This window comes from Homo sapiens, chromosome 2 (assembly GCF_000001405.40).
Source record: "Homo sapiens chromosome 2, GRCh38.p14 Primary Assembly".
In the NCBI taxonomy this organism is placed as follows: domain Eukaryota; kingdom Metazoa; phylum Chordata; class Mammalia; order Primates; family Hominidae; genus Homo; species Homo sapiens.
The window spans coordinates 102,090,495-102,113,164 of NC_000002.12; the positions used below are offsets into that span (position 1 = coordinate 102,090,495).

Genomic DNA, 22,670 nt, shown 5'->3' on the forward strand with positions numbered 1-22,670 from the left:
TTATTTTTCTCTCTATGCATTGGTTTTGATATTTTCTGTTAAACTACCTCCACATTTGCAAAACCTGTGGTCTGCTGTGTTTAATCAGCTGTTAACCCATCAGCTGAATTTTCACTTCAGCTATTATATTTTTCAGTTCTAGATTGTCTATTAGATTCCTTTTTATAGATTTCAATCCATTGTTGGTATTTTTTATCCTTTTACCTGTTTAGTTCATGTTTTTCTGCATCTTCTTGAGGGTATTAATCACAGTTATTTACAGTCTTAGTTTGCTAACTATAATTTCTTGATTACATGTGAGCTGCTTCCATATTCTGCTTTTTTCTCTTAATTATTAGCCATATTTTCTCGTCTCTGTGGTAAATTTTTAATTTTGCCAAACAATGTGTATGAGAGGACAATAGAGGCTTCGGCTAATGTTATTAATGATCAGGGAGTTTCTTCTTTTCTGTTCAGTAGATGCAATGAGGTATTGGTAAACTCAGTCCAACCAGAATTTTCCATTTTAGTAAAACACATTAGAACTTGGTTTACTTGTGTTTCTCAATTGAGACTTTTCTGGGCTTTTCATAGAGAGCCTTGTGAGTCTCTGTTGCCTTAGTTCCAAAAAAATTGTGGGAGAACCAGATATACCCTCCAGAGATTCACAGCCCAGCTCTCAAGTGATCAGTCTCATAGAGATGAAAAATCTGGCAAATGTTTTGATGGAAAACAGGTTATGTGCTTGAGGCAGGGCTTCTTCTAGTAGTTTTTTTTCTTTCTTTCTTTTAATCTATCAATCTTTAACAGCATCTTGGATAGCCTATGAGTGTATGTACTTGACAAACATTGCCTCTTTATGGTTCACAGTAGTTTCTAAAATACATTCACTTTATTGGCCATTATCCTTTGAAAGCTGATTTTGTAATCTTGATAAAGTGGAAGTGGATTTTATAGTCTTGAGAAAGTGGAAATTAACAAGGCAGCTTCATGGATAATGTATCCTTTTCTTCTTTCTGAAAATTATACATACTATTTTATATATTTATGGGGTACATGTGATATTTTGTTGCATTCATAGAATGTGTAATGATCAAGTCAGAGTATGTGGAGTATCTGCCATCTTGAGTATTTACCATTTTTATACGTTGGGAATATTTCAAGTTCTCTCTTGTAACTACTTTGAAATAGACAATACACTGTTGCTTACTATAGTCACCCTACCTTGCTCTCCAATAGAACATATGCTTTCTATCTAACTGTATGTTTTTACCCATTGACCAAGCTCTCTTTATCCCCGTCTTTTACCCACACAGCCTTCCCAGCCTCTACTATCTATTATTCTTCTCTCTACCTTCATGGGATTAACTTTTTAAGCTCCTATACAGAATAAGAACATGCAAAATTTGTCTTTCTGTGTCTGCCTTGTTCCACTTAATGTAATGACTTCCAGTTCCATTCATGTTGCTGCAAATGACATAAAATCATTACTTTTTAATGGCTGAATAGAAGGTTTTTGATATGTAATAACTTAAAGCTTCATGAGATTTTACTCTGCCATTTCCAAAGCTTCCACATCCATTTCCAGTTACCTACACTATCCCAGAACTCAGGAAATCCCTATTTTGCAAACTCATCATTTGTTTGAGACCCCCCTCAAGCTTCTGATTGTCAGAGTAGCCCCACATAACCATTAAAAGCTTTGCTGCTTTCTCTTTTTCCAGCAGAGGTCCTCTGTGTGGGTCAAGCCAAGTCTTCAGCTTGCAGCCAAAATTGGTAATGTTGGCAGAGGGGCGGGAGGCTGGCAATCATCAATTCTCATCTTAATCATTGTCATTGTCTCTTCTCTGAAAATTTTGTTTTTCCGCTCCTAGTCGTTTTCTTAGCTCTTTGATTCTTAAAAAAAATACAGCTTCTTCAATTTATCCATGTTTGTCCAATCATTGTAGCATTATCCAGAATATCCTTTATCAATTAAATCCTCCCAGGAAGCAGAAGGTCTTGAAACTCTTATTTTGATATTCATTTCCTGACCAACTATAGAAATCTATGTTTCTTAAGTGCTCTTTAAACCAATTCTTTTTGGGATTTTTCCCTATTCATTTCCTCATTAATGAGCTAAATAACACTCGGGCCTGTTCTAAACGTAACATTGAAAATTTTGCACGCCTCATATAAACTCCGAGAACAGGGCAAAGGGGAGCATGTTTATGACACTAATTCTTCTAGCAGTGAACTCTTGCTGAAAAGGTCTGGAATTTACTGGCAAAACAGGGATGGTGGGAGGGCAGCAAGAGAAGAAAGGATGGGGGTGGAGCCGTGTCCAAAGGAAGATGCTTTTCCGCTCTCTAGTTCCATGACTATGATTTTTTTTTTCAGCCAGAGTAAGTGCATCTTGTCTATAGAGGTTTACTCAGGATTGAATGAAATTTCGCCAAGATGTACTTAGAGAAGAAAACTCAGAGGCCAGAAAGAGAGATTGCTCTATACCTAAACCAAAACTACATATAGACATCTCCAAGACCTTGAGACTTGAAGGTGCTGATTAGCAGTTTTGGAATAAGTGGGTGATTATTAACTTGTTTCCACTTTTGTTCATTAAGAATTGATAAGAAAATAATAGTTGCCTTAGTGGAATTGCCTGTTATTCAAGTAACTCACGTAGAACGTTTCTGAGGATTTAAGTTCCTATGGCCAAAACTCCCCAAGGTAGTTAGTGGTTGAAGTTGGTGAAGGAGAAAAAAAAGGGGTGGAGAATCAAATGAAGAGCAGTCATTTTAAGGGACAGAAAAGAAAATGTCATCAATCTAGCTTATGTTATTGAGAAAGCTAGCAAAAGTCCTTTCCGGAAAACCCTTGTGAGTCTTCATTTCTTTGGGGTATTTTGAAGTAGAATGTCTAGATTAGATAACAGGTATATGTTTAACTTTTGGGGAAAATGTAAATTTGTTTCCCAAAGCAGCTGTACCATTTTACATTCCCTCCAGCAGTATTTGAGTTCCAGTTCATCCACATCCTCCCTTGCACTTGGAATGGTTCAAACTTTCCATAATAGCCATCCTAAGAGGTATATAGTGGTACCGCATTCTGGATTAATTTGCATTTCCCCAAGGACTAGTGATATTGAGCATTTTTTCGTGTGCTTATTTGCCATCCATATATATCTTCCTTGGTGAAGGATCTGTTTATATTTCTTGCCCATTTTTCAATTGGCTTATTTATTTTCTTGTATTGCTTTTTAAGAGTTCTTTACATATTCTGGATGCAAGTCCAGTGGTGTCAGCCGCCCCACTCCCCAGCACCTGGTCTGGCCCTACCTGCAGTGGGACCTCCGCGTGACCCTGGTCCCCACCTCCTCTGAGTGTCCGAGGAGACACGCGCGGGGCAGCAGGCTCCCGGCAGCTGCAGTGGGGCATCCCCGCGGGACCAGTCCTCCTGCAGCAGTGTGGGGTCCAGCCACGCCCGGTTCCAGAACCTGCCTCCGTCCTGAGCTTCACCTGCAGCAGAAATACACCATGATCTGCCCTGGGGAAAACAAAACAAAACAAAACCAACCAACCAACCAACCACACATATAAAACTTTAATAGGAAGTGGAATAGAAGTGACTACAAAATACTACCATTCAATTTCATCATGCAAGTACTTTAATATTTTCACTCACTGGCAAAATAAAGCACATGTAACTCTAAATGTGAAATAATTCTGAGTCTTTGACTAAGTCTTCTAAAGAAAGAATAAAATGCTGGTGAAAACGTGAAATTGTGTAGTGAGGGATTTATGACCTTGTTTATTATTTTTCTACAGATGTTAAGATGATCATGATTAATACCAATTGAAGCATTTACAGAATGCTATTTAGGCCCAATAGTGATGTTAAATTACAGTATCAGAGAACCTGATAGATATGGGGTCTGATTATAAAGAAACTTTATTCAAAATCATCTTTGTCAAAGTTTTAACACAGAAGCAAAAGTCAAATATGTTCCTACATGAGATACAAGCTATTCTTGCTAACAGTACAAATTCTGTCCTGTAAGTATTAGTATTTTCAGGTTTTTTCTTTTCTATGAAACGGTTGAAAGGAAAACTTTAGTACGCTATAACTCATAGGCTACTTTGTGTATTTATCATTTTATAAACAAATGTCTTGACAATTAAGTTGTGTATGAAGGCCATCATCAAGTCATTAACTCTTATATCAAAACCTATTATTATTCACTGATTTAGATAATTCAATTTATGTGTGCGTTACCAGGTTGCAGTCAGCCAACAGACACAGAACAGGTTAATAGAAATATATATATTTTTCTTATCAGGTTTTCTTTTATTGGAACAGGTTGCATATATATACACACATATACACATATATGTGCATATATGTATGTATATTTCCATTGATATAATATTCTAGAAAATGCAGACTAATCACTAGTAACAGAAAAGCAGATCAGTCATGGCCTGGGGAGGGGCAAGAGTGACGAATTACAAAGGGGCGTGAGAAAAATTTTAGGATGGTGGACATATTCACTATTTTGGTGGTGGTGATGGTTTCATGGGCTTATACATATGACAATACTTAACAGATACGCCACTTCACAGCTGTTTCCTAAGAGTTTAACCTTTCAGCTTTAGGCCCCTCCCCCAACACGGTGTCCTTTCTCATTGCCACATCATAAACCAGTCTTTCCCCTGAGTCACACACATGCAATCCTTGCACAGCAAGTCATGATGGTGCCCTGTGTGTATGTGATAGTGATGGGAAAAGGATAAAACAAAACACTCAACTTGTGTTATGGCAAAAAGAGATTGCAGTGATGATAAAGAATGCAGGAAAGGAAGCCAATTTATCTGTTAGGAAAAAACTTCCACTTGCTTATAAATTCTGTTTCCTCTGATGAAGTTTCATTATAAAGTGTTTTCTTTTTCTTTAAAAACAAGAAGATGAGAGGACATTGATTACTTAAAAATTTTTACATTAAAGAATACTGGAAAATTTCAGAGAATAAATGTAATGTATAAGGCCCATATAAGGCCTTAGGTTGAAAACAACATGCACCCATGAACTTGCTAAGTAATTTGAGAAATAGAACATAATTGGCATCTTTGAAGTTTTCTGTATACCTCTCTTTCTACCTCCCTGCTTCCCCCCAGAAATAGCTGCTCTTCTGAACGTCAGTGTTTCTGTAGTGTTAGCATTTATGTTTGCATATAAAAAATACATTATTTTACTTCATTTAAAGATTTTTAGGCCGGGCACGGTGGCTCACGCCTGAAATCCCAGCACTTTGGGAGGCCGAGGCGGGCGGATCATGAGGTTAGGAGATCGAGACCATCCTGGCCAACATGGTGAAACCCCATCTCTACTAAAAATAGAAAAATTAGCTGGGTGTGGTGGTACGTGCCTGTAATCCCAGCTACTCGGGAGGCCGAGGGAGGAGAATCACTTGAACCCGGGAGGCGGAGCTTGCAGTGAGCCGAGATCGTGCCACTGCACTCCAGCCTGGCGATATAGCCAGACTCTGTCTCAAAAAAAAAGAAAAAATTTTATAAAAATAATGCACTATTCTTCCTTTTTTCATTTTACGTTTTGTTTTTAAGCTGTATTCCTGTCAATATATGTAGCACAACTTAGTTTTCACACTGTGTCCTATTCAGCGTGTAAATATACTGTAATTGACGCATTCATTTTCCACTCAATGAATTTGGGGACTTTTACAGGATTTTTTGCTATTATGAAAAATGTTTCTCTGAGTGTTCCTCTACTCGCCTCATAGGGTGTGTACTCATGATATTCTTTAGACAAAGTTTAAGCTGAACCTTCAGATAGGCACGTGTTCAAACTGTTTTCCAAAGTGGTTGCAGTGATTTATATCACATCAAACAGAGTTTCTACTTGTTGCCAACATCTGGTTTGTTAGACTCTGAAAGTTGTTTGCCTACCTCGGAAATGTGAAATAGTTTCTCATTTGTGTTTCTAATTTCCTTGGGTTTTTAAGTTAGGTATCTTTTCATTTAGTTTATTGGCCTTTCAGGTTTTCTATTCTGTAAAATGCCTGTTTTTGTCTTTTTTTGCCTATTTAATATTTTTTTTTCTCTTCCTAACTGATTCTAGGCATTCTACATGTTTGTGTTACTAACTCTTTATAAGTTATTTGTGTTATAAATGTCTTCCTCTTCTGGCTTGTCTTTTATTTTTTTAAATGATGTCTTTTGGTGAGTGGAAGTTTTTAATAATAATGTAGGCAAATATATTAATCTTTATATATTTTAAAGCCTTTGAGTCTTTTTAAAACTTTTAATTTTACCATCCTGACATTCTCTTAGATAAATATATTCTTTTGTATTTTATTCTTAAAGATGGGAGATTTTGCCTTAGTATGAGATTCATCTGAAGTGGATCTTTTTTTTTTTTTTTTCTGCATGGGATGAAATAAGGAACCAATTCTGTTTCCTCAGCATATGCTTTGCCTGTTGTCCCAGAAGCTGTTATTGAACAACGTGCATTGCCACCTCTGTCATGTACTAACTTTCCATAAGTATTTGTCAGGATAGGAAATATTACAATGAAGTTGCAAAGCTTGAAATCTCAGTGACTTAGCACAACAAAAGTTTACGTCTCACAGTTGTTAAGTCTAAAGTTGGTCATTGGCTCTTTTTCGTGGTTCTTTTAGAATGGTGACTTTATCGGGGATCGGGGCTGCTTCCTTCCTGCAACCCTACAAGCTAGGAATTATTTTCTTTCATAGCTTCACATATAAGAGAAAGATAGGGATGATGGAAACTCACATGAGCTCTTAACTGCCCTGGACTAGTGGCTTGGTCCCAACCATAAACAAGGGAGGGTGTCAAATTTGGGGAGCATATATACATATTTAATGAACATTAATTGTCTGTACCATATCATCTAAGTGTGGACCTCTTTCTGTTTCCTCTATTCTGTTCCTGGTCTATTTGTATATCCTTGCAATAATCTCTTAATTGCTAAAGCTTTGTAATAAGTTTTGATATCTGCTTGTACAAGTCCCTCATCTAGAAATATTGATGAAAGAAAAAAGACTATAAAATATTAGGAATGAACAGGGATGTATAACTATGGACATGGCAATATTTAAAGATAAGAGAATACCAAGAGTGACTTTAAGCCAAAACATTTGAAATTTTAGATAAAAAAACAAATTCCAAGAAAAACATAATGTATCAAAATTGACTAAAGAAAAAATAAAAAAATCTGAATAGTCTCATATAATATTAAATATTTGATTCATATTATAACTATCCTACAAAGAATAGTTTGTATAAAGAAAATAGTATAGTTTCTACAAAGAAAATGTTTTACCTAAATGATATTTGAGTGAGTTCTACCAAATATTCAAGCAATAGATAATGTCAATCTTATACAAAATTTTTAGAGGATAAAAATTAAAAGAAACACATTCTAATATATTATATGAAGCTGGAATACCATTGACACCAAAACTAGAAAATCCCAGTATAAGAAAATAAAATCATATTTCAACTTAGAGGCACAAATCTTAAAATGAAATAAAATTATCAGTGTATAACCCGTGGAGATTTTAAAAAGATGAGAATCCATGACCGTGTTACGATTATACCAGAAATATAAAGATGGCTTAATCTCAGGCAATCTATTAATATTATATATCATATATAGAGTAAGGGAAAAACTGTTATTAATAGATGCAAAAATAGTTTTTCATAATATCCAATATCTATTCTTGATACTCTCTTGGGAAACCAGGAAGAGAGGAGGTCATTCTTAACCTGATAAATGATGTCTACTAAAAACCTAGAAGTAAATCTTGTACTCTATAAAACACTGGTTCTCTTTAAATCAGGAGCAATACAAGAATTACTATTATGAATTAGTTTATTTAATGTTTTGCTGGAGTTGCTGGCCAATGCAGCAAGATAAGAAAATAACAAAAGTAAAAAGCACTGTAATAAAATGAACAGAGCTATTATTATTTGAAGATAATATGACCTGTCCACATGGTAAACCAACAAAAAATGCTTGCTTTTTACTGTTGAGAAGCTGGGTCATATTCGACAGTCAAGAATTCTGGAATAAGTTGTGTTTCATCAAATCCCTATTTAATTGCATAGTACACTGCAGTGAAAGTATGATTATGAAAGCCATATAATAGCATAAAAACTATTTGTTAAGTCAAAAGAGATTACAAAGATGTATGTACATAGGAAAAAAAAGAGTAGGTGGGAATGTTGCTTAATGCTAAAGGGGGTTAGGTGGCAAGATCATGAATTAATTTTCCATCTATTCTTTATGTCCCATATCTTCTGTGCTGTGGCTATATTGTTTACAACAAAAGTATTTTTAAAATTTGTACTAATGAGAACCTTTGGAATCTTCCTGCAGATTTAGTGATGCTTGTTGATTTGTATCAGAGAGCTGTTGAAGACAATACAGTTTCACCTAACGTTTAACTGCACAATAAGTCAGATGCATTTATTGGGTTGTGACTCATACTTAGAACCTGACATATAATGAATACCAGTAAGACATCATCTTACCTTATTAAACACAATAACTTCCTTATTCACTAAAATAACTAAAAAAGGCACCGCGCCCAAAGTTCACAGAAATATACATCGAGGCATTGTGATAGAGTAAAAGAGAAGAAAAAGGAGTTAAACAAAGTCTGTAGATCCAAATCCTAGTCTTGGTTTTCCCATAGTAGGCTTGGTTTCCTATTTCAAAATGTGAATAGTGAGAAACTGCCCTGTTTATAACATTGATTTGTCATGAGGGCAAAACAAAGAACCCAAAATTAGAGGGCCTAGAAGAGATGGTAGAAGCAGTTTCCATTGGATGTTCGTACCCATCCAGTGGCCTTTGTTTGAGTTCTTCCAGGGATGGGGCAAACACTGTCTCTGCATTGCTGAGTGCTTAATCTATTGTTATGAAGATCTTTTTCACATTGGCCTCCTGGACGTCTATCCCATGGCCTTCGTTCCATCTCTGGGTTAGGGTACCATGGCTCCTAGCATGGTCTGGTGGCTACCAGGTGTACAGATATCAATCCTCTTAGTCTAAGGGCCTGTGGGAGAGCCTAGCTGGTCTTCTTCGGCCATGAACAGCCTTTGTTATTGTTTTCTCTGCATGCCATGACAAGAGCGTGTCTGAGGGCATTCTCCAGTGATGACCTCCTTTGTATCAGAAGGTACACTTCCACCAGGGCAACTACAGCCTCCTACCACACATCATTCACTGTGGACGTCTTAGTCAGTCAAGACTCTGGCATTTGTTTGGTTTTGTTTTCCACCAGTGCTTTGCTTTTTCATATGCCCTGTCCTGTACTTAACAATATGAGGTTAGGGAACTAAGAATGGGATTTTAGATTTGTCTGTGTTAAGTCTCACTATGTTAGATTTGGCCTATGGTTCTATCTTAATGGCGTCTTTTGGGACCCTGATTTGCTCTCTCAGTGAATTCACAGTTCATTTTAACTCCAGGACTCCCAGAATGTGGTAAGCTTGCCTGCTCTGCCCTTCTGCTGTAGAAACCTGTTCTGCACCTCCCAGCTCCCTCCCCAACCCCTGGCTTGGCCTCGAGGCATTCTCCTTTCCTGCATTCAAGGCCTCCAGGAATATTACCACACACCATCTGCACATCGTCGGGTTCTTTTGGCCAATGCCAATTTGATAAATTTTTTTGGCTTCAGTGTCCAGTTCTGCTTTCTAAACTTGTATTTGCTTCCTTTGGAAAATGTATTCCTTCTTTCTACCCTCCCTCCTTTCCTGCATTCCTCTGCTCTGTACTCTCCACAATTGAAGAGTGCCATGACCATGTCCATGCCCAGCCTGGCTGCCTCTTTTCTGGGAGGAGAGGTCAGCTCCACACCTGAGAGCCAGGATGGAACCAAATACCTGGAACTGAGCCTGAGGCTTTCCAGTAGAGCATACTCTTCTAATTGACTCATTTACCATTGAGTATGGGTGTTTATACATGTATCCAACTCTACTAACCATATTCTTTGTTTTGCTCACAAGACAGATGTTTGCAGATACTTACATGAAATTCTGATTCACTAAGTTCACAGCATTTAACTGTGGTAATCTCACCATCTAACAACCTCATCAAACAAAAGATTGCATGAGCTTCACCAGACCTGGCCTGTTTTTAGTCATTTCATGCTTTCTCTTGGTGATCGTGGCTTCCTTAAGTGCTGAAAGACTATCCCTGTAATCATTCATCTAGAATCTTTCCCATTCCTTCATCTGTGCTTGCAAAATCCCTTAAACTCAGTAATGGGTGTGGAAGCTGTCTGTCTGGAGGTATGAAGAATTAAGGGATGGCATTCTCCCCGGAGGTTTGATAGAAAGCTGGACACAGTGCGGTCTGGAAGAGTCATGGGGATGATACGAATTGTTCATGTATCATTGCCTGGAATAGGAGTATGATAAGCAGCCAGGCACTCAAGTCAGATCCTTAGGGCCTGACCACAAAGGTTACCAGTGGCCATCGGGGATGGCATGGTTAATTCTCTAGTGTAAAGAGACAAAGGTTAAACTAACAGAATGTGTCACACTGGAAAGCATTTTGGAGATCAGGTCAATTAGCACTCCCTGTGTTACTGTCCACACAAGTCACCCAGAAAGCTTAGTCAAATATAGATTTGAATTCAGTGGTTCTGGGGTGGGCCCTAATGTTCTGCATTTCCATCGTGCTCCTTGGTGATGCTCTTGGCTTATGGGCCACACTTTGTGTCCCAAGAGTTTAGACTATACTGTTTTGTTTTGTTTTTTCAGATGTAGAAACTGAGATCCAGTGAGATGAAGTGATTTTCCCAAAGATACATAGATGAAGTTGAAGCTTAGCTCTTTAACCCAGGTCTGCTGGCGTCCAGGTTGGTGTCTCTCTAATTATAGAATTGCTGGACTTAGGAAAGCAGAAGTCTCCTGCCCTCTCTTAATGACCCATAGCATGTTGAGGGGGAGCCAAGGTTAGATTCTAGGGTTGCACATACTTGCACAAACATGCACACACATACACACATGCTCATGCACACACATGCACACACATACTGTACGTGCTTCTTCCTATTCTCCTTTTTCAATTGGGAGGTATAAGAAACACATGGATTACAGCCACATTAAAGATATTCATAAATGCAAATCAATTCTGAATGTGTAAACTTTTCCATAAGAATATTCTGGGAAAATACTTGAGTTATTTCTGACCTTTTATGTATAAACACAGACATTCTGGAGTTTGTCAAAGACCATGTTACTGATAAAATTGTGTTAGAATGACGTCTTCTGATAGTTTAAATGTTAAAAGCTCTGGGCTCGGCTCAGGGAATTCTATACTTTAGCATTCATAAAGGACCCTAGAGTTTGAGAGATTATCCATTAACTTCTGATATTGAATTTTTGTTGCCAACTATGACTATTTGTTTTCCCTGAACTCTGTAGGGGAACAACACAGCTGACAAAACCCAGGCAAAAGCGTGTGTGTGGGTGCGTGTGGGTGCATGTGTGTGGCGTGTGTGTTCACACAGGTTAACTAAACAGTGCAGATTCCTCCAATTTTTCTCCTTTTTGAGAAGTAGGAAGGAGCAAGAGAGAAGAAATCATCTGGAGTGGAAAAGAGGGCTGGAAAAGTCCTTGAACTAATAATCTGCCAATTAATCCAGCTGCTTGGAAATAGCCTGGAATTGGAAGGTCTTTTGGGTGCTCTCTGGAAAGGGTACCAGGAAGTATGAGACAATGGCTGCTAGGAACTTGCACTGTTCCTGAGTAGATAAGACCTGTTGTCAAGTAAATTGCGGTGGATCCCTGGTAACACTTGAAGAGCAATGCAAGCCTGGGCTCCACCTGGGCTCTACCCCTGCCTGACTAAGGGAGCTTGGGGAAAGTATTTACATAATCTCAATCAGTTTTCTCACCTGTAAAATGGGCCTAAAGAATTTAAATTTCCATGCAAGTCAAAACCATAATGAGATATCATCTCACACCAGTCAAAATGGCTATTACTAAAAAGTCAAAAAATAAGAGATGCCAACAAGGTTGCAGTGAAAAGGGAATGCTTATATTCTGCTTGTGGGAATGTAAATTAGTTCAGCCACTATGAAAAGCAGTTTGGTGATTGCTCAAAGAACTTAAAACACAACTACCATTTGACTCAGCCATCCCATTGTTGGGTATATTCCCACAGGAATATTAATCATTCTACCATAAGACATGATGTTCATTACATCGCTATTCTCAATAGCAAAGACATGGAATCAACCTAAATGTTCATCAGTGGTAGACTGGATAAAGAAAATGTGGTACATGTACACCGCGGAATATTATGCAGCCATGAAAAAGAACAAGATCATGTCTTTTGCAGCAACATGGATACAACTGGAGGCCATTCTTCTGAGAACTAACACAGAAACAGAAAATCAAATACTGCATGGTCTCACTTATAAGTGAGAATTAAACACTGAGTTCATACGGACACAAAGAAAGGAAAAACAGACACCAGGACCTACTTGAGGATGGAGTGTGGGAGGAGGGTGAGGATTGAAACTACCTATAGGGTACCATACTTATTACCTAGGTTACAAAAAAATCTGTAGACCAAGCCGCCTGAATACACAATTTGCCTATATAACAGACCTGCACAAGTACCCCTGAAACTAAAATAAAATTAAAAATAAATAAGTAAATGAATATATAATTTAAATTTCCTTGAAGAATGCCTGGCACCTGTAAGTGCTCACTTCTGCTATCTCCGTTATCATCACAGAGAGAAGGCACAGGTTCAGAGTCGGGAAAATCACCCCAGGATGCTTGAGTGGGGTCTGCTTGAGCAAATGGCGGTGAAAACTGGAAAGAAGGGGAAGGAGCAAAGAGGAGGTGGGCTGTGTCGTGCTGAGTGGTGTCAATTGGCTAGGGTAAGGAGTGGCAGTGGCAGAATTGAGGCTGCAGAGCATTGAAGCAGAGGTTTGAGCAGTGCCTCTTAGGGTCAGCAGGCGGCCCATCCAGGTGAGCACAAAGCGCTCTTGGAAAGGGTAGCGGGAACAATGACAGGAAAGTGTGTGAGACCAGATGTCTGAAGACCTTGAATGCTAGAATTGGAGGCTTGACTCTTCCTCCCTACGATGCAGATTTTTGAGTAGCGTTGTGATAGGCTGGACTCTGTATCATGTTGAGAATGTTCATCGGAGTGCAGAGCACAGGAGGAGCTATGAGAGAAATAAAAGAGGCAGGCCAGGTGCGGTGGCTCATGCCTGTAACCCCAGCACTTTGGGAGGCCAAGGGGGTGGATCATCTGAGTTCAGGAGTTTGAGACCAGCCTGACCATCATGGTGAAACCCCATCTCTACTAAAATTACAAAAATTAGCCAGACATGGTGGCGGGCATCTATAATCCCAGCTACTCGGGCTGAGGCACGAGAATCACTTGAACCTGGGAAGCAGGGGTTGCTGTGAGCCGAGATTGTGACATTGCACTCCAGCCTGGGAGACAGAGCAAGACTGTCTCAGAAAAAAAAAAAAAAAAAAAAAAGAGGAGGCTTGGCAGCACCAGCTCTCCTAGGTGGATCTGGCTGCATTTGTGGAAGCCAGAGGCTCCAGCTTTCATCTCCCTGAGCTGAGGGGTGATCAGTGGCCATCCCACCTCCAGGGTGTGGTGAAGGGAGACTTCCAGAGTTCTCAGGGCACATGGCAGGAGTGGTGGCCACCATGAGAAGTGGGCCAGCATCTGGGACACGAGCAGACCTGAATAAAGAGTCCTGCAGCATTGCCTGGGCTGACTCTAGGGAGATTGCTCTAAGGATTGGGAGGTAGGCAGAGAGGGAAAGCTTAGGCCACCACAGGCCTGAGACTGACCAGTCAAGACTCTGATGATGGGAACATGATAATGAGCTGGATTCAGCCAGCAGGCTTGTCCAGGTTCAACACAAAGTCATGAGAGGAAAGCACCAGCTTCGGGAAACTTTAGAGGTTACCGTGCAGTGGCGGGTGTTGGTGTTTCTTAAGGGTCTGGCACGTTTGCTGAGTGATTCTGGCTGTCTGCCTGGCTCTGAGCTTCCTGTTCATAGTTCCCCAGATGTGTCACGGCCGAGGGATTAAAGCCCTAAGAGGCTGTGACACAGCCATCTCCAAAACCCCACTTTCTCCTTCCTTTGAGCCTCCGTACCAGCTGGGGCGTCCGGCAAGATGTGAGTTGTCACTCTGCTGCGGCACAGACCTGAATTAACAACTCTAGCTAGGGCTGACTTCAAAAAGCACTTTCGTTTTTTAATAACCAACATCAGCTCAGCAGGCTTCATTTGGGAAAAGAAACCTTGTCGGATTACCCCGACATTCTCCACCTCCTGGGAGGCCAGCCATTCCCAAATGCCCCAAGGATGAAGAACGGAGACGGTAAGATGATTAATTGCACTGCAGGTTTTTTGTTTCTGTATTTTTTTCCCTCCTTTTTTTGGGTTTACTTACACATTAATGAGGTATTTAGGAAAGACAAATGGAATCTGATAAAAGGTAACGTTATATTGTTTGTCGAAACAACATTTTAAGGATTTCTTGAAGTTATATGGCTCTGTAGGCATGTTTCACTTTAAGATGTGTTTCTGAGTCATATTAGGAGAACGACTGTGATTATCTATGGAAGATTAACTATGAAACATATGGGAAATATACTTTATAACTGTATATTACTTATAAACCATGAATAGTTACATGACTTTTGGTATGTGGTGAGAGATGTTAAGTGAAAGGTGTTGTAAATGAAGTCGTTTTATAAGACTGTTGTTACTGTAAGAATTGAGACTTATTTTATCACTTCCCATTAAGCTTCTACAGTGTTAGAGAGGCATAACCCAATGTTGACTGAAGGTGCTATGTTTTCTTTTTAATTTATTTTTTATTTTGTTTGAGATGGGGTCTCACTTTGTCACCCAGACTGGAGTACAATGGCATGATCTTGGCTCACTGCAACCTCCGCCTCCCAGGTTCAAGCGATTCTCCTGCCTCAGCCTCCCGAGTAGCTGGGACTATAGGCGCCTGCCACCATGCCCTGCTAACTTTTTGTATTTTTAGTAGAGATGGGTTTTCACTGTGTTAGCCAGGATGGTCTCGATCTCCTGACCTCGTGATCCACCTGCCTGGGCCTCCCAAAGTGCTGGGATTACAGGCATGAGCCACCACGCCTGGCCTGAATGTGCTATGTTATTAATGGCAGCCTCTATTGGTTTCATTTAAAGGTATAATGCATTGTATTGGCAAAACTTGTACACGCTTTCTTCAATAAGGACCTCAAAGGTAATCTTAAAAGCCTGATCATATTTTTCTCCCCCCTTCAGAAGCTTTGCCAATGTTGCACCTATAGCTATAGAGAAGACCATGCACTCTCAGAGGGGATTATAAACATTGCCTTGCATTTTTATCCTTGATCTCCATAATTTATCCTTGATCTCCATTTATCCTTGATCCTCATAATTCCTACTGATAGTGTTGTTGTGCATAAGAATGAGAAAATGGGACTGAACCTGAAAGATTAAGGAAAGAAAATAACAAAACAAAAAGGAAAACCTAATGAAGCTTATCATTCAATTCAATTTATAACTCCTTATTGCTCATGCAAAATGTGAATTTTTCGCTGTGTTGGTGAGGGTGTGAGGAGTGGATGGTGGGGAAGGATGCTTCAAAAAATACAGCTAAGGACCAACTGGTTTGGTGAGTCATGGCATTCACCCATGAGACAGCTGGAGAACAGTGACGTGTGTGTCTCTGTGTGTGTGTGTCTGTGTGTGTGTGCATTTGATGCCAGAGATTGGTGTTTACTATAAATGTGTTGATCTGTTAGGAAAAGGAAGAAGACAAAGTTGTCCAGAAAGAGCCAAGAAAACTTCTTGAGATGAATTTGATCTGCCTAATGGTAGTGATGAGTTTAAAAAGATTCTTATGGCCTTTCCTAACACTACATGCTATTGTTAATCATTGAACTGACAAACCCCGTTGAGCACAAGACTGTTAGTTTACTTAGGAGGAAAACTTGGCAGGAACGGTCAAAGAATAGCGAGGGTATACTTCTAAAATACGTCCTTGGAACATTTACACAAACAGCACAAGCTCATTGTCAAGAATAAAATTTTAAAAAATACATAGAGATAATAGTAAAAGACGAGAAGTAAAAACACACCACTGTGAGGTAAACACTGTTAACATTTTGGTAGGTGTATTTGTCTCTGAGTACATTTACATTTTGAAGAAATATATTTGTACTCTACATGCTTTTCGGTTATCTGCTTTTACCTCACAGCGATGGAGCATCTTGTTATGAGAATGAGTTTTCTTTTACAAAAGCTTTTCCATTTCATTGCATAGATAGTTTATTAAATCCTGTTGGCAGGTAGTTGATTGTTTTTCTCTTATTAACAGTACTACAACTATGTTCTTCTCTTATTAACAGTACTACAACTAACACCCTTGTAGCTAAACCTTTGCATCTCCTTGATGCAAAGGTTATCTCAACGAGTTTTCCTTGAGATAAATCCCCAGAGGTAGAATGGTAGGGGTCAAAGGGCATGGGCATTTTAAAAACTCTAGATCCCTGCTGCTAAATTAATCCTAGGAAAGTTTAATTAATTTATGTGCCCACCAGCACTGTATGAACATTTTCCAACTCTCTCATCAGCATTGGGTTTTATAATTTTTTGAAAAGTGTGCTACTCTGCATGCACACGTATGTTTATTGTGGCACTATTCACAATAGCAAAGACTTGGAACCAACCCAAATGTCCATCAGTGATAGACTGGATTAAGAAAATGTGGCACATATACACCATGGAATACTATGCAGCCATGAAAAAGGATGAGTTCATGTCCTTTGTAGGGACATGGATGAAGCTGGAAACCATCATCCTGAGCAAACTATCACAAGGACAGAAAACCAAACGCCGCATATTCTCACTCGTAGGTGGGAATTGAACAATGAGAACACTTGGACACAGGGTGGGGAACATCACACACCGGGGCCTGTTGTGGGGTGGGAGGAGGGGGGAGGGATAACATTAGGAGACATACCTAATGTAAATGACAAGTTAACAGGTGCAGCACACCAACATGGCACATGTATACATATGTAACAAACCTGCATGTTGTGCACATGTACCCTAGAACTTAAAGTATCACAATAAATAAAAGAAAAGTGTGCTACTCTGATAATAGGCAAAGGTATATTTTGTTGTCTTAATTTACCTTAAGGAAACCCTTTGCAAAATCTGCTGGTTTCCAGTTCTGCCCCTTTGGGTTCAGCCTCTCGTCTTTTTTGGTTACTCATTGCCAAAGCAGTCACCTCTTACAGTAACTTCTGCCAACCTAATTTCTGAGGACTTTGACCTCTTTTGATGTCTCTCAGAAAGTCTGCTGAGAGAGCGAGAGAACTGGATGCTTTTGCTCTGAATTTTTACCGATTGAGTAACCTGGGGTAAACCTCAGTCTTTGTGATTTTGTCTCCTTTTTAGCTATAAAATTTAGACAGAAGGCCTGTGCTAGCCACCTCACAAGATTGTACTGGGAATATAAAGAGGCAAGATAGAGGCAAGCTTTTTGAATAGAGGAAAAGCAAAAATGCAAAATGGTATTATTATTATTGTTGTTACTCTAAAGTTTAGTGATAAATCTAACCTTCTAAAATATATAGTTTCTGGAGAGCTGCATGCTGAAATTTTGTCGTCTTCTAATTCTAAACTTGGGAAGTGTGTGTGTGTGTGTATGTATGTGTGTGTGTGTGGGGGGGGGTGTGTATAACATATTTCTATGCTTCTTGGTTCTTAGATTCAGTAGCAGTGTTTAGTGTGTTACAGCAGTGCATGGATACATTTTAGATTAAAAAGATTTCCATTTTGTTGCTTATTTATTCCATTCTTGTACAGGAAAACCAGCCATCCTCCTCCTATTGCATTCTCATCATCCATGGGCTTTGCTCAGCTCCCCAGTGGACTGAGAGCTCCTCAAAGACGGGGTCCGGTTTCATGTGTATACCTCTCTCCAGGGCCTGCTTTGGGGTCTGACACCCAGAGGGCGGATCAATCAATGTTTCTCAAATGAGTCAATGTAAGGGAGGTAGAAAAATATTTACCCAGTTCTGTGGAGAAAAGAATATTCCAAAAAGGCACCCCAGAAGATTAAAAAAAAACCTAAATGGAGCTTTTCTAGGGGCAACTGGTTATTTATTTCGTTTAGTTTGGGTGAGTCTCAGTTTCTATTGAGTAAATATTTAAAGCTCTGAAAGGATATTAAACAAATGAATGCAAGCCAAGGATAGGACCAGGAAAATGGAGAACCCTGTCTTTATAGGTGCAAGTGTCATGGATTTGGCATGAATATCAAAAACTTTAAGGAGGCATCGATTTTCACTCTGACTCCCAGCTCAGTGCTGGGCTGCAAAAATCAGGACCAAACTGACATTTAGTAATGGTTTGAACTTGGTACTGAATAATAATAATAATAATAATAATAATAATAATAATAATAATAAAAGCTAATATGTAATACAGCACTTGCTAGGTAGGAGACCTGGTTTTAGGTACCGCTCATATAAAATAATCAGTACTATTATTTTATTTTGCAGATTAAGAAACGGAAGCACAGAGAGTGATTTGCTAGGGTTATACCAGTAGTTATTGCAGAGCTGGAATTATGACGCAGACAGGCTCACTCTGGAGCCTGTGGGTCAGTGAGGGTAGGTCGGACTGAACTTTGGAGACAATGTCTCATGGTTTTAGGCCACTGGTGATGTTTGTGCTGTTTATTTGGGTATATGACTACCATTTATTGAGTCACCTACTAAAGGAACATGCACTCTTCTGGGTTCTTTAAGTATAATATCTTGAATCTTTCTCGCAACCTTGAAACATTATTCCAACTCTAGGTCCAGACAAGCTGAGACCCTGAGAAGTTCAGTAAGTTTCCCAAAGCTGCAGGCTAGTGAGGAGAGATCCATCAGCCTGCACCAAGTCTGTCTGCCTTCTGAGTCCATGTGCCACACTGGCCTGGACAACTGAGTGCTGATGTATTTGGTTCTTCCATCCAAAGGTGCCAAGAGTCCAGTTCTACTGCATTTGGAGGTGTTGAACCTGGAAAACTCAGCCACAACAACCCCTCAACTTGGGGATCAGGCAGGGCTCAGCCTCAGCTTCTCTGAACCCACATGGGCCAATGTGAAATGGATTTGATTTTTCAGACCAGATCCTCCCTGGCAGGACCATCCAATTTATCACACCAACCTAGACTCGATGGGCGTTTAAAATATTGAGAGATATTTCCTTATATTTCCTCTCTATTGACCCCCCAAATCTGCACCAAGGAACTCCAGCGAATGAGATGGAGTATGGTGAGTGCTAGCTTGGGGGCCAAGGGCGGCTTCGTTTCTCCTGGGCGACTTATCTCCCTTTTCTTTGTTTAGTGTTTCCAGTTATAACATGAGGGAAAAGACTATAATTTAAAATGGAATTTTACTTTTTTTGGTTAAACTTTTCCATATGATTTTGAAACTCTTTAAATTTTTTTGAGTGAATGACACATGGTTTATTTGCTTTTGGAGTGGTAACACAATTTAAAAGGTGAAAGTCTTTTTCTCTTCCCTTTCTGCAGACGCTTCTTTCCCTCTTCCTCACCAATAGGCGAGTCTTGTTAATAGTTTCTAGTTTTTTCTTCCACCTCTTTTGCACTCATAGTGTGCACCATTCTATACCTTGATCCATAGCTGTATCAAAGGCGGTGCATTTTCTGCCTCTTAATGGACAGTTGGATTGTTTGCAATGTTTTGTTATTTCAGGCAATGTTGCGACCAGTGGCAGCCTGCCCTCGTAATTTTGCAGAAGTGTTTCCAAGTTGTTGGTTAAATTCCTGGAAGCAGAATTGTGGGGTCAGAGGCTGTGTACACTTGTGATTTTGATATATATTTCAGAATTACCCACCCCCCCACCCCACCAGGTCATACCAATTAACACCCCTACCAGGAATGTTTGAAAGAATGCCTCTCCATGTGCTCGTCAACAGTGCCTGCTAACAAGCTGGTTTTTATTAGACTTCGGCAGTCTCAAAGGAGAAAGCTGCAAACTTAGTAAGTTTTCTAAATTTTCCTATCTCGTATCATGACCATGCAGTGTCAGCCCCACTGTGGTCTCTCGTGGCAAATACAACAGTCTGACAGGTACTTTGTTGACTCAGGTTGGGCATCTATTCAATTGGCTTAAAACCATTTGCGATCACAACGTTTTTCATTTGGTGATTGTGTTTTGAGGCCTTGCTGTGTGTCCAGTCATGGGATGGCACAGGGATGCGTGGACCCTGCCAGGGTTGCATGAAACAGCTAGGCAGCCGCGGGAGTTGGCACATGTGTGCTGAGCACTGTGAAAGAAACACAGAGACAGAAGGCTGCAGAGACAGCGAGTAGGGAGCCACGGTCCGTGTTAGCCTGGTGATTGGGACGGCTCGAGGTGGAGTGATGAAGTCTGAGGCATGAGAAGGAGCCAGCCAGACAGAGGGCAGAGGAAGCAGAGCATAAAAACCCAGCATGAGAAGCAGAAAGCAGCTCTATGTATGGCCAATGAAGAGAGTGGAAGGGAGGCCAAGGTGAGCTGGAGACAGAGGCAGAGGCCAGAGCATGGTGGGTGTTTAGGGCTGTGGCAAGGAGTTTGGCTTTTATTGTGAGTTTCAGGTTGACTGTAGTCATGGGCTGGGGAAGATGGTGCCAAGGTCTGTAAACTCTTACCTTGTAGATGTAAATTCTCACCTGAATAACACCAGGGAGGCATGGTTCTATACACAAGCACCTGTCAGACTGTGTTGTATTTGCCACAAGAGATCACAGTGGGGCCGCTGCTGCACATAGGGCTGGCGACCAGAACACTGTATCTCTTGGCCAACCTTGTCCTCCGTGTGAGACAAGTGGAGACATTTTACAAAAATACGTTCTACGTCTCTCTGGAGTACAACTCAGTTTACAAAGGGCTTTCTCATTCATTATCTCATGCATTAATAAACTGACTGATAATTTTGACAGATTATTATTGCATGTCCAACCTGTGCTAAGCCCTGTGCTAGGTGCTGGGGATGATGAGAGGAAGAAGGAGTGGAAGGGGAAATAGAAAGATGAAGAAAATTCAGAGCAGCTTACAGTCCATCTGCGAGATAGAATCAAATGTCAACAATGAGAAGGAGAGCAGGAAGGGGACAGTGAAGAGGACCCGGCCACCTCTAGGTTCTGGACCAGAACACGGGTAACTCTGCCCCAGGGGCCTGCTTGGTGCCAGGGAGTCCTTCAGGGATGGGGTCTCAGGAGACAGCTGCAAGTAGGGCTTCTCTGACATCCTTTTCTCCAGGTGTAAGTAGGGTTATCTTTCTAACTTTAGAAAGATAGAGGTGACCAACTGAGAGCTTTCCTCAGGGCTTCTGAGTGGGCAAAGGGCAGAACTGGAACTTTTCCTCCCACCCCTGAAATCTGAGGCCATGGCTCTCTGTGCTCAGAATAGAACAAAATTCCTGAAGCCCAACCACCTGGGGAAGGCATTGAGGAGAGTGTCTCTATTATGCATCGTCTTTCATGCTGGCCACCCTGGTTCCATGATGATGAGGCTGCTTTGTTTATGAGTCTGTAGTGTTTTCAGGGCTCTGGAGAAGGGGTGGGCTCTCTACCAGTCTTAGGGTCTTGGTGGCTCTAAGCCCAGAGGTGCTTCCATTGTGTGAAGAAACACAGGAGACCGAGACAAAATATTGTTGATCAGACACTCAGGCCTATTTCGGCGGCAAAACTGTCCTAAGTGGTCATTTATGGCCAGCACAGAGTGGGGATTAACGTGTGTGTGTGTGTGTGTGTGTGTGTGAGTGTGAGTGTGTGTGTTGTGGGAGGTGTTTGGGGGAGGTCTCAGGAATTGCTGGCCCTGAGGTGATACTAATGGATCAGGTTTCCATGGACACAGGAACATCTGGGCAGGAAGTAGGAAGACTGCAAAGTCAGCTCACCCCCTTCAGTGAGCTTCACCTCCCAGTCCAGGGAAAGGAGGGCAGGGCTTGCTTCTGAGAAGGGACTCCTGGTGAATTCCAGGTACTCAACACAGAATTGCCCCAATCAGGTGTAACATGGGATGGGGGTTGTCAAGGCCTAATGCCAGGTAAAAGAGGAAGCAAAAGGTGTGTTTACCATAGAAAAGTCTAGAAATGTAGTCATAAAACTTGAAATGTGTCTGTGTTAAGTGTAATGGAAATAAATACTTTAATAGTTTTTTTTAGGCGTTGGGTTTTCCTTTGTCTGTGTACATAGATTGAATGTCTGTGTGTCCCCCAAGCCCACCACTAAATTCCTATGTTGAAACCCTAATTCCAGTGATGGTGTTAGGAGGTGGCATGCTTGGGAGATTGTTAGGTCATGAGGGTGGAGCCCTGATAAATGGGATTAGTGCCCCTGTAAGAAGAGGCCAGAGAACTAGCTAGCTCTCTTTCTACCATGTGAGGATACAATGAGAAGTCAGCTGTCTGCAAACCAGAAAGTGGGCCCTCACCAGACACCGGATCTGTCAGAACCGTGATCTTACACTTCCAGCCTCCAGAACTGTGAGACACAAATATTTGTTGTTTAAGCCACCCAATCTATGATAATTTGTTACAGCAGCCCAGGCTAAGACACTGCGTTCAATCAGCCTGTGACAATGG

At 40.5% G+C, this 22,670-nt stretch overlaps 1 protein-coding gene across 5 annotated transcripts in view; it reads left to right on the top strand.

Moving 5' to 3' along the window:
* Positions 1 to 22,670, top strand: part of IL1R1 (interleukin 1 receptor type 1) — a 109,485-nt gene that overhangs the window by 20,105 nt on the left and 66,710 nt on the right. For 2 of the 5 annotated variants that reach the window (NM_001320980.2, NM_001320986.2), the window contains exon 1: positions 14,110 to 14,378. The exons of 2 other annotated variants lie outside the window; for them this stretch is intronic. The gene's annotated coding sequence lies outside the window, so the exon portion shown is untranslated. Of the gene's footprint in view, positions 1 to 10,769; positions 10,868 to 14,109; positions 14,379 to 22,670 lie in introns of those variants that run through there. One more of the 5 variants, XM_011511115.3, reaches the window with a different exon arrangement.